The sequence below is a fragment of the Homo sapiens genome, chromosome 4, assembly GCF_000001405.40.
Source record: "Homo sapiens chromosome 4, GRCh38.p14 Primary Assembly".
Lineage (NCBI taxonomy): Eukaryota > Metazoa > Chordata > Mammalia > Primates > Hominidae > Homo > Homo sapiens.
The window spans coordinates 91,111,746-91,123,774 of record NC_000004.12 but is presented as its reverse complement, the minus strand read 5'-3'; the positions used below and the strand labels follow the sequence as shown (position 1 = coordinate 91,123,774).

Genomic DNA, 12,029 nt, shown 5'->3' with positions numbered 1-12,029 from the left:
TATAGTGACAAAATTAAATACTGAACTTAAACTCCCTTCAACTAATGCAAAACCAAGTGTAAAGAATTAGAATTATGGGTATCACATAGTTGTTCTAAAAGAAAGTCTCTATTCACACAAATGCGGTAAGTGATAAGAAACCACCATCACTGAGAGGTTAAGCAATTTGCCCAGAATCAAAGTCAGAATTTACAAAATGGAGAAATATTTCGTCATGTTTTGTAATTCCAGACTTTTGAGTTAAGGCTTAGGTTTCCTGACCCCATGCTTTAGCAGCTATAACATGGAGCCTTTAAGTATCTTAATCAATTAAATACAAAGATGACTATCTTTTTTAATATTAAATAATTTCCTATATTAGAAACTACTACACTAATTTTCTCATTCCCTGAAAAGCACTTAGAATGGAAAAAAAGTAGACTATTTGGGTAAATATTTTACTGATTCTTTTGTATTTCTTATCATAAGCTTTTCTTTGAATGAAACATGTTTCTAAGTTACAGTGCTATAATGAATCTGACTAATCGAACTGCAAATAATGAGACAAAATGAGAAAGATTAAATGAAAACTATGCTATTTGAAAGAAAATCAATTTGTTAATAAACTTCATGGGTATGCTCCTTGGAACAGATATAATAAAATAGCTGAGATGAAATACACTTTCTTTAAAAAAGGTATCATTGAACAAGCATGATTGCAGCATAATAAAGGCCCAACTCTATTTTTATCCCACTGTTCCCCTAATATTTATTCAATGAAATAGTATTCTGCCCTATATGAAAATTTGGTTAGGTCCCCTGAATTTTCTGCTCACATTTAAATAAAATCATTTGAAGTAATGCAATAGAATTGATTCAGAAAATTATACATTGTAAGATGTTAATTAACACCGTCTTCCTTCAAGATGAAATTTGTTTATTCACATGTCCACTCTTGTATTTGGTGGTTGTATGCCTTCAGGAGAGGTAGGCATTGTGATCAGCTCCTCATCCCTTTTGTATAGGCTCATTTTCCTAACATGCTAAGTCAAGGGCAGGCATTAGAAAAAGTATTCTTTGTTTTTGACCTTCTTCATAATGAGTTCAATGTGCTAGTATATCTTTGGAATGATAAAGCAAAAAACACTTCCAACGGAATATGATCTATATTTATAGTGATGAGTTGGGGTTATTGTTTGCCTTGGATCAGTATTTAATAGGTTTTTCCTTTTTCTAGTTTTGGTTGTTTGCATCATTTTAAAAATAGGATTTTGCGGGAGAATCATGTTGAAGGGAAAACATGTTTGATATTTGCATATAGTTTTTCAGGTTGTATATTACTGAGGCAACAAAATATGTGGAAGGGTCAGAAAAAAAATGTCAAGTTGCTGAAACATGTTATACATGAGTAATGAATGATATACTTTCAAAGAATTATTGACTATTAAGCTCAACAAATGAGTATCAATAGTAAATTATCTTAGGTTTGACCAAGAATTATTTCTGTATCTACGAGTCTACAAAGTTAATAGATAGTAGGCTAAGAATAATTGATAGTATCAAGGAACCATCACTATTTACTGTTGATTTTTTAATGCAAATCTTGACCAATCAGGGATCACTTGTTAAAATAACTTTTAAAGACAAGCATCTTTTCCTGAGTCAAGCTTAGTCCCTTAGAATCCATATTCCATGTCAGGTACCAAAGCTGGATATTTCAAAAATGTCACCAAATAACTTCAAAATTATTTTTGGAGGAGAAACAAATCACAAAAGTAATTTCTTCTTCATTCATTCTGAAATAAGTCAGAATCTTCTGCCCAAAATGACTTTTTATATGTTAAAATGGAGTGACACATATATAATTTCTACTTAATTTCTTTTGACATCCATAGATAATTTATCAATATTTATCTATATTTCTATAGAAATTATGGATGTCAAAAGAAATTAAGTAGAAATTATTTTAGGTGGGGTAGACACTATAACCAAAAGTTTCTCAATAAATAAATGATAACTATAGTGCTAGCATACATTAACTATTTTATAATACTTTCTTTTTAAAGGAAAGTATTACATTTTAAAAAATTATTTCTTGGTATAGATTTATCTAAAAGTCAAAAATAAATAATATTTTGGCCCAAAATACATATTTATGATTAGATACTAAGTTAATAGTGCATATTTGAAAAACCTGGAAGAGATATGTTATTCAATTAACAACAACATAGCACATACTGAAGTAAAATTTTTCACTTTATTTACATTGGGCATTACCTCAATGTAATTTTTCTTTACAATGATATCACTAATTAACGGCCATACACTTCTACTATAAAGAACAGAAAATAGGAACAGTTTCCTCTTAGACAACTTCTTTTCCTTACACAGTAGATAGATTCTTAATGGTAAACTGCAGTAAGTGTCAGAACTTTGACAAATCTCTTGAAGTATACTAACAGTATTATTAATATTCAAAACTGTGAATCAGGGACAAAAATAAATCATTTTTCATTATTATTTTGCCATTATGAAACTAATAATTAAATTGGTAAGAGAAGGAAAATGTTACAAGAAATACTTTATATGACTGAGTTCAACGACAATATAAATCTCCAATGGGGAGCAGGGGAGGGATGAATATTTAAAATCCCCACATGAGAAAAAAAAAAAGATGTCAGCAAACAGTTTATGTAACATATATAAAGAATTTACTCAAGAAAGCCTAAATTTTCCAATTGAAACTGTCAAAATGTTTTTTATTAAACATCCATTTCTATATGACCCTTTTCCAAATCAGAATAGAAAGCAGGAGGGAGAGAGAAGAGAGGTGTTTATCTAGAATATGAAAAAGAGCAGGTGTTTTTGAAGTACTCATTCACTCCTTTGTAAGACAACTTGTCATCCCCTCTTTCTTGAAACACATCCCCTGATTTTCCTGGTTTTATTTTGTTAGTTTCTGGATATCATTTTTCTACCTCCATCTCAGATTCCTCTTCTTGATCACCTCGGACTTATAAACATAGCCCAGGCCCCAGCCAAAGTAATCTGGCCCATTTTCTCTACACCTTGAAGATAATTTTCCCTCCTGGATTCAACTACCCTCTGTCTGTAGATGACTTCCCAGAATAATCCCTCAAATTTTTACGCCTCATGACATAGATTCCTCTCATGAATTAAGTAGGAAGAATTTTCACAAGTACTCAACCTGTAATCTTTCAAAAAAAACTTTAAAGCTAAAGTATCATCCCATGTTTTAGCTTTCCTCTGAGATTCCTTATTCTTATACAGTTAGCCCTTCCACTCAGACTTAAAACCTTGCAATAATCTTTGATTTTTCTTTCAAGTAATACTGAAGTAATCTCTAAGAGGTGGAAAATCATCCTTTATATTAACTCTGACCTCATTGTCTTTCAGTATCCATCATCATCATGATGCTGATATAAGACCACGTAATTATATAGCAGAACCTCTGTCTCTTTGTCTCATGCAATTACTTCCATAAACCACAGCCACACTTTGCTCCAACTATGCTTTATTCTAGTTAAGTATCATGTTTCAAAGTTTATTTAACTCTTTTAGAGCTCTTTTCAAGAACTTAATATTGAATTAATGAATGGGAACTGGTATGATCATTGACTCTTAAATGAGATATACAAATCACTATTATGCAAATTATTATTAAACAATCGAAGTATTCTAATCTCCATACCCCACTCTCTATGGCTTAATAGCTCTATATTAAAATCAAACTATTTTAGTCATCACATATAACTCAATTGTACATGTCAGTTTTATTATCTTTAAAATTATGGAGGTAGAACTAGATAATTTATAAAACTCCATAGGGTTGTAAACCCTCCACTTTTCCAAACTGTCCCCATCCATGGCAAATCTTCCTAACTGCTTTTTAAAATCCTATACAAAATAAGAATTCTCTTTTAAAAAATATGCTTTACACACATATTTATACATATAAAATGCACACTACACAATATATGCATAATTTTTTCAATTATCTATTCATCTATCTACATACTTGTCATATGCCTACTTAGTAATATACTAATCTCTATTCATTTTGAAGACAGTCCTGTTAATTCCCTATATACTTATATACATAGTAAATAGCCCTACATTTCAATTTTTTTCTATTTATACACAGCTAATCAGTACAAATGACTTCTCAGACTACATCTACAGTTAACTTCAGTTTGAAAAAATTGACTCAACTGTGTTTTGGTTATAAAAGCATATTTTGAATCTGTTAACTATTATTTTCTTTTTAACATCTCAAAGAAATATACAGTATATAGAAGTTATGAGAATCTAAAAATATGAGTGAAGTTAAATGTTAAAAATGTGGTCTAGAAATGTTCTCAGGGGTTTGTCTGTATCAAATCCCTAAGAACATTCCTAGATATATTTTATATATATATAATTTTGCATATCTGAAAACACATTACAATGGCAGTTCATTTTAGGCTTAATAGTATGAATTAAACACAGTTTGTAAAAGAAGAGAGGCTAAAAGAAGATTGAAAGAATAATACTCTATTCTAAGTGACTAATCTTTTTTCTCCTTTGCTCACCAGTGGAGTTTAATCAATGTTTTCCTGAAATCTCTGCCATGACTTAGCAGTAAGCATATGCATCTCTGAATACAGGGCAAATGTATTATGGGAATGATTTACCAGAAAAGAACATCTGCCCCTTTTTATACATGAATATCAAAACTGCAGATTGCAACTTCAATAACTCACTCCTTCACACCTCTTTTAAGGAAGGAAATTTAAGTTGTCTTTTAAACACTAACTTGCACATTCACTGAGAATCCCAAAGCAGATTTTCCTTACCCAGACTGCCTGTGGAAGAAATGAGGCTATATTATCAAGGTTTCTAAATTTGAACAATTTACCCAAATTTCACCACAGAAACATCTTCTACAAAAACTACTGGTAAGAGTTGATCATAGTACCCATTTTCAAAATGACACAGTCTAACACTTATGTCATTGAGAAAGTTGCAAGTTAGATATTATGCAAAAGAGACAGAAAGAGCACTGAAGTATAATTAGGAATGAAGCTTTTGTTCATATAAACAGAAGGCATTCTTTTGGGATGTATAAAATATGTGTTTATTCATAAAAGCTTACTTTCTCTTCAGTGTTTTAATTTCCTATGAAGTTAACCAATCTAAATGAGACTTCATGACTAGGCTCAGCCAGGCACAGTGGCTCATTCTTGTAATCCCAGCACGTTAGGAGGCCAGGGCAGGAGGAATGCTTGAGCCCAGGAGTTAGAGACCAACCAGGGCAACATAGTGAGCCCCTGTCTCCACAGAAAATTTAAAAATTAGCCAAGTGCAGTGGTGTGTACCTGTAGTCCTAGGTACTCAGGAGGCTGACGTGTGAAGATTGCTTGAGCCCGGGACCTTGAGGCTGTAGTGAGCCATTACACTCTAGCCTGAGCAACAGAACGAGACCTCGTCTCAAAAAAAAAAAAAAAAAAAGTCTCCATAACTACAGTTGTTACTTCTTCCAGAAAGAGAGTACCACAAAGAAGGTGAAAAAGAGTTAGATTATTATTTAATATTTTCTCAAAGTTGTACTTCTGTTTTTAGAGCACTCATTTTACATAAAATTGCATGCATCTTTCCTTAACATAGTATCAACGATTAGAAGAAAATATTGAATCAGGGATAACAAAAACAAGAAAATAAAATATTTACCAGACATACATAATGTTAGCATTTTGCTGTTTAATACATAATAAAATTTAGAACTATTTAATACAAAACAATTTACAATAGATTTTGGGCCTATATTTTAAAATATCAAAGATGGCAACACTTAGTCACTTGGGTAATGGAAAAGAAGACAGTGAATTTGCTAGAAAGTAAAAAAGGATGATTAAAGTAAGGGATAATATTTTCCAGTGTTTACAAATGAATGAAAATAAGAAAATAGGTTTAAATAATATAAGTAACATATAAACATAAGAATATGTCTATGGTCATGTAACTGTTGAGTAGCAAAGCCAGGGTTTTTAAAGTGTGGTTGACACCACAAAACTGATGCTCTTAATCATTTTTTTTTCTGCCTATGGCATTGGCTTTTGGGACAACATAAAGTCACACCTTACAACGCAAAGGTACAAAACTGAGGTACCTTTCGAAGCCTTGACTTTGAAACACGCAGTAAATCACTAATACATTTTTAAAAGATGGTTTTGGTTTCTTCTTATGAACTTCATTGAATTGAAGTACATAAAGTAATTCTATTCATCCACTTAATAAGCATTTACATAGTACTTATTCTACATCAGATACTATTCTAAGAATGTTATAAGCTACTTAATCTACAATAACCCTGACATAGGTCCCAGACAAGGAATGTGTGGCATAAAGTTAGATAGCTTGCTTAAGGCCAACTCAACAGCTAATAAGAGGTAAAGTCTAGATTTGAACCCTGGCAGACTGGATTCTGGTATTAACACTATGATGTCTCAGGAAGGTCCTCACATTCAATGATCATATTCATAATCTGCAATTGTTTTCTAGTCCTGCTAAGCCTCAAGGCTCATTTACATGGAACCAAGGTTTACATATATAAATGGATGTTGCTGTAATGAATGCTATCTTTTTATTTCCATTTGCAAGCTTAACATTAAAGGCTGATTGTTTCTGTTTAGCTTTGTACTAGCAATTAAAACATTCTGCCATTAGGTGGTGCCTTCTTTATGGCTCAAAACCTGCATGGAGGTTTCTTTAGGTATGATTCATTGAGAGGCTCAAAAGCAGGCTTTATATGCAAATTTATTTCTAGCAAACAAATATAAAAATTTGACTAGTAAAGTAGCCTACTAAATATGATGAACATTTAAAAAATCACCAGTCTCTCATTTAAGTAATTTTTAAACCCATTCTTCCCTCTTAGAATTATGAAAGAAAAAATATATAATTCCCAAACTTCCCACTCGGTAAAACTAATTCTTCATGCAGGTTGAAGTAAAAAAAATGATCCCTGTTTTTTGTTTATCACTTGGAGACCAAACAAGGCAGCCTGTTAGATAGTTTATTCCTATCCTTCCTAAACTGCAATTTTCTTTAACAACAAAAACAGCAGTAGCACCACCACCAGCAGCAACAACAACCACCATCTCCAAAGCATTTACAAAATGTTATGTATGTTCTAATGGCTTTGCATATTTTGGCCCATTTAATTCTCATAATAACTCTATGAAGTAGATACCACAACTGTCTCCCATTTTAAGGAGGAGAAAACTGAGGCTCATTACTGTTTCTAATTCTTTGCTGTTGTTATTACAAGAGCTAGTAAATTACCTAGCAGGGATTTGTTCGCGGGCATTCTGGTTCCAAAGAGCATGCCCTCTCATCACTAGGCTCTCCTGTTACTCTTTTACTAAATCAGAGCTTGCAAGCGGCACACTGTGAGTTCCTGGATTTTCCATGGTGGTTTCTCACTAGAAAAAGCCAGGGATTTCCAGCTTCATCCATGTCCCTACAAAGGACATGAACTCGTCATTTTTTATGGCTGCATAGTATTCCATGGTGTGTATGTGCCACATTTTCTTAATCCAGTCTATCATTGTTGAACATTTGGGTTGGTTCCAAGTCTTTGCTATTGTGAATCATTCTCAGCAAACTGTCGCAAGGGCAAAAAACCAAACACTGCATATTCTCACTCATAGGTGGGAACTGAACAATGAGAACACTTGGACACAGGAAGGAGAACATCACACACCAGGGCCTGTTGTGGGGTGGGGACAGGGGGGAGGGATAGCATTAGGAGATATACCTAATGTAAATGACAAGTTAATGGCTGCAGCACACCAAGATGGCACATGTATACATATGTAATAAGCCTGCACTTTGTGCACATGTACCCTAGAACTTAAAGTATAATAAAAAAAAATATATATATATATATATAAAAGAATGGAAATTTGAAAAAAAAAAAAAAAAAAAGAAAAAGCTAGGATAGGCAGGGAGCAAGAGGAGGAAGCCACTGAGTGATTACCAAATCTTTCTCCAACTTTCGTTATATATCCAACTTATTTACTCATGCATTCAACATTCCATTGAAATTTTTTTTAGTATGTACCCTGAGCCAGGCAAAAGTAGAAAGCAAAAGATGGAAGGCGTACATAACAGAGAACATTTCTCTAGTCTTTATCAGTATAAAAAAAGAGTTGACCAAGGCGGGCAGATCACGAGGTCAGGAGTTGGAGACCAGCCTGGCCAACATAGTGAAACTCCATCTCTACTAAAAATACAAAAATTAGCCGGGCATGGTGGCGCACACCTGTAGTCCCAACCACTTGGTAGTCTGAGGCAGGAAAATCTCTTGAATGTGGGAGATGGAGGTTGCGGTGAGCCGAGATCAGGCCACTGCACTCCAGCCTGGGCAACAGAGCAAGACTCCATCTCAAAAAGAAAAAAAAGAAAGAAAAAAAGATTTGATGTTCTTTTCTGATAAGACAGGAGTACAAACTGGGTACATTTTATTTGAGAAATGTATTGCTAATGATCTCACTTAGTTGAAAACTCATAATTCAATGCAAATATTGACAAAGTTGGTAACTATTTTCACTTACTTTCTAAAAAGACATCCCTTTGTAGAAATAACATAATTTATTATTCAATTGGCCCTTCAACTTTGACATTATGCTATTATTTATACATATTTAATATTAGAAGTTAAAACTATTTCTAATTTTTGAAATAAACTGGAAATATATTATTCTTTTATTTTGCTAACTTTCCAATTTATATAATTTAATTTCCCATAAAATAAAAACTCACGGCATGTATAAAATATTAAGAGAAGGAGATAAACTGTTTCCATGACTACATTAATTTCTTACATTTTAAAATCTGTGGAGAAAATTATCATGTTGTATATAAGTGTACAATTTTAAATCAGTTAATGAGATTTAACTCCTTTTAATAATTAACAATAACAGAAGCAAAAATACTAACAACCAATGAGTTTGGCAGAAAGGTTAGTCTGATGAGATACTGAAATTGACTAAACTGAAGAGAAGCTGTAAAATATAAGGAGAAGCGGGAGCCGTCTCCCTCCCTCTCATCTTTCTTTCATTTGTATAATTGCTAACTGCTTTTGTGCCACCAACTGCAAAGAGCAGGAAGCAGGATGAGGTCCATTCAAATGCACGCATTCAGGCCTAAGCACCCTCTCATCATTCTTTCTGACAGTGTTTTCTTCTGATTAGAAAGGGTTTCTACAGTGATACCTCTCCTCAAGTTCTGGGTCTTTATTGGGACTCTCCAAAAGCAGAGTTAGGTCTAAAAATACGATGACATCTTGACTGAGCAGGCAGGAACATAGTGGGCCTTTAGCATACTTAGGAATGTGCTTCTAAGTGTTTAAGATCCAAGTGTTGATAATGGAAGTCACATTATCAACATAATTGGTATCTATAGATGCTCTTTGGATTCCAAAGTCTCAGAGTAAATACACCCTACAGTAAGAGTATTATGATGTTTCTTGACTTTGAATCAAGGAAACATCATAAGCTTATAAGCTGCTTGGAGGTAGTGTCTGTATTTCATGGATATGTCCATCACTAATTAACAACTCTATCTTAATAGTAGCTATTGGCTGGGCATGGTGGCTCAAGCCTGTAATCCCAGCACTTCGGGAGGCCGAGACGGGCGGATCACGAGGTCAGGAGATCGAGACCATCCTGGCTAACACGATGAAACCCCGTCTCTACTAAAAATACAAAAAATTAGCCGGGCGTGGTAGTGGGCGCCTGTGGTCCCAACTACTCGGGAGGCTGAGGCAGGAGAACGGCGTGAACTCAGGAGGCGGAGCTTGCAGTGAGCCGAGATCGCGCCACTGCACTCCAGCCTGAGCGACAGAGCGAGACTCCGTATCAAAAAAGAAAAAAAAAAAAATGTAGATATCAAATGCTAAATTGCAAAAAACATAAATAACTGAGAATAAAAATCTATCTGCTCCTTTTCAAAATCTATATTTATATGTTTAAAAGATTTCTATGAATGATAAATTGCTTTATGTTTAGTAAAAGCTTATAGAAACAAAGTCACTGACTCTTAACTCAAAGGGTATGTGTGAGTGCCTAGATAGCTCAATAATAGCTTATTTTGTCAATAAAGATTTAATCCATTGGGAAAGGTAGCATATGCTATTTATCATACGGAGGCCAGAGGCTCAGTTATCACAAAAGAAACAGAATGTAGCTTGGATTGTGGGAAAACCACGGGCTTGATGGCAGAAATTTAAATCCCACCTCTACATCATACTAGCTGTATGACCTACTAATCACTCAAAACGTAAGTCTCCAGGGTGGATTTGTGATGATAATACCTGCTTTGCAGAATTATTTAAAAAGTCTTGGCACACAGTAGGTCCTCAGTAAAGGTTAGTTGTTCTTGATTGAGAAATTGCTATCAGAAATGTGCTAGTGACATCTAGTGGTAATTCCTGCAAATCTCAAGAAGGTCTCCCTTGCAACTCAGAGCCTCCCAACACAATGTCATGCGTTTGTTGTATCAACAAATGTTTAATAAACACTTCCTGTACTTAAGTCTCTTAAATCAGGTTCTGAAGATTGTAAAGATATAAAAGACACAATCCCTACCCTAGAAGATCTCTTGATTTAGTAAAACAGACACATGTAAGGCAATTAATATTTAAAAATGTAATAATTTCTATAGCCGCAGCTATAACAAGTGCAAATATGCCACAGAATAGGTAACTTCTTCTGCTGAATGAGATGCCATTTGTACTGGGTCTTAAAGAAAAACTAAAATTCCCTCATTACGTCTTAGCTGAAGAAGAGATGAGAAAATTTGGATATTTCTAAAATGGTAAGTTAAGGCCTCTTTGCTAAAGTCTCAGTTGATGAAGTTTAGCCCTTATCTTTGTGTGATGGGAAGGTAGTAATATTCTTCCATGAAAATGTCTTGTAATTATATTCCAATAACAATATAGAAGAGAGGCTGAAGATGGAAGAGGACAGAGGATGGAGAAACAATTAAGAAGTTATGATCATAATTTCCTTCAGAGATGATGAAGACACAAACTCATTCAACACGAATTGAGATAAACAGGAAGAAATAAAACTGAGATTGAAGTAGAGACTGCATAATGACCTTGAGAACAGGGAGTATAAGAGAGAAAGAAGTATGGTTGATTCAATGTTTTCTGCAATGAGTGACCCTTAAGTAGTAATACATTAAATGAAATAGAAAACTAAGCAGAAAGAACTTGTGTATGAAGGAGGAAAGAACAAAGATAATAAAGATTATCAATTCACTGTCTCTGTACAAATTTTTAAAACTTACAGAATAGTTAGGTCAAAATATCCAACAAGTAAATAAATACATAGGTCTGGAGATAAAGCTGTATTAGATAAAAACTTAAGAACCGTCAGAACACAGTCAAACTTTATAATCACTTAAGGTATGAGATTACTCAGAAAAAGAAAAAAAAGTGTCAAAAAAGGAAGGCCTACAAGACAAAGATCTTTAGGAAACGTCATTATTCAATGAGCAAAAATAAAAACTGGACTTGTCCTCAATTTTTCAGGACGATCTCTTAGTAAGTTACAGATACATGCTTAGACCACAAACATGGCTTTGGAAATAGCTTTGTGATAGGAATATCTCAGCAATACCGGAATATAACTTTTAGAAACACGTTAAAGCTGACTTTAAGGTTTAAAGGCAGAGCTATAAAGTGCTTTCCCCACAGTTACATGAAATAAGGCATATTTGAATGTCCTTTCATAACATAAAACTGGTTTATGCTTTAAGAGTAGCCCTTCCAAGGTTAGAAAGAAAATTTTATTTGACTGCATATAAAATGGACAGCTTTTCCATTTACCCTATTAAATTTGGCCATCTAGTTTTCTTTCCTTTTTTTTTTTTTTCTGTTTTATTGTCTTCTTCTTTCTCTCTTTTTCTCTTTTCCTTTCTCCTGATACAGTATTTCTTGCTTCAGTGATTCCCGGGAAAAGAGCCCAGTTGGTTTAATG

At 33.7% G+C, this 12,029-nt stretch overlaps 1 protein-coding gene across 11 annotated transcripts in view; it reads right to left on the bottom strand.

Annotated features, from left to right (window-relative positions):
* CCSER1 (coiled-coil serine rich protein 1) overlaps window positions 1-12,029 on the bottom strand; it is a 1,477,902-nt gene that overhangs the window by 481,521 nt on the left and 984,352 nt on the right. The window lies entirely within an intron of this gene.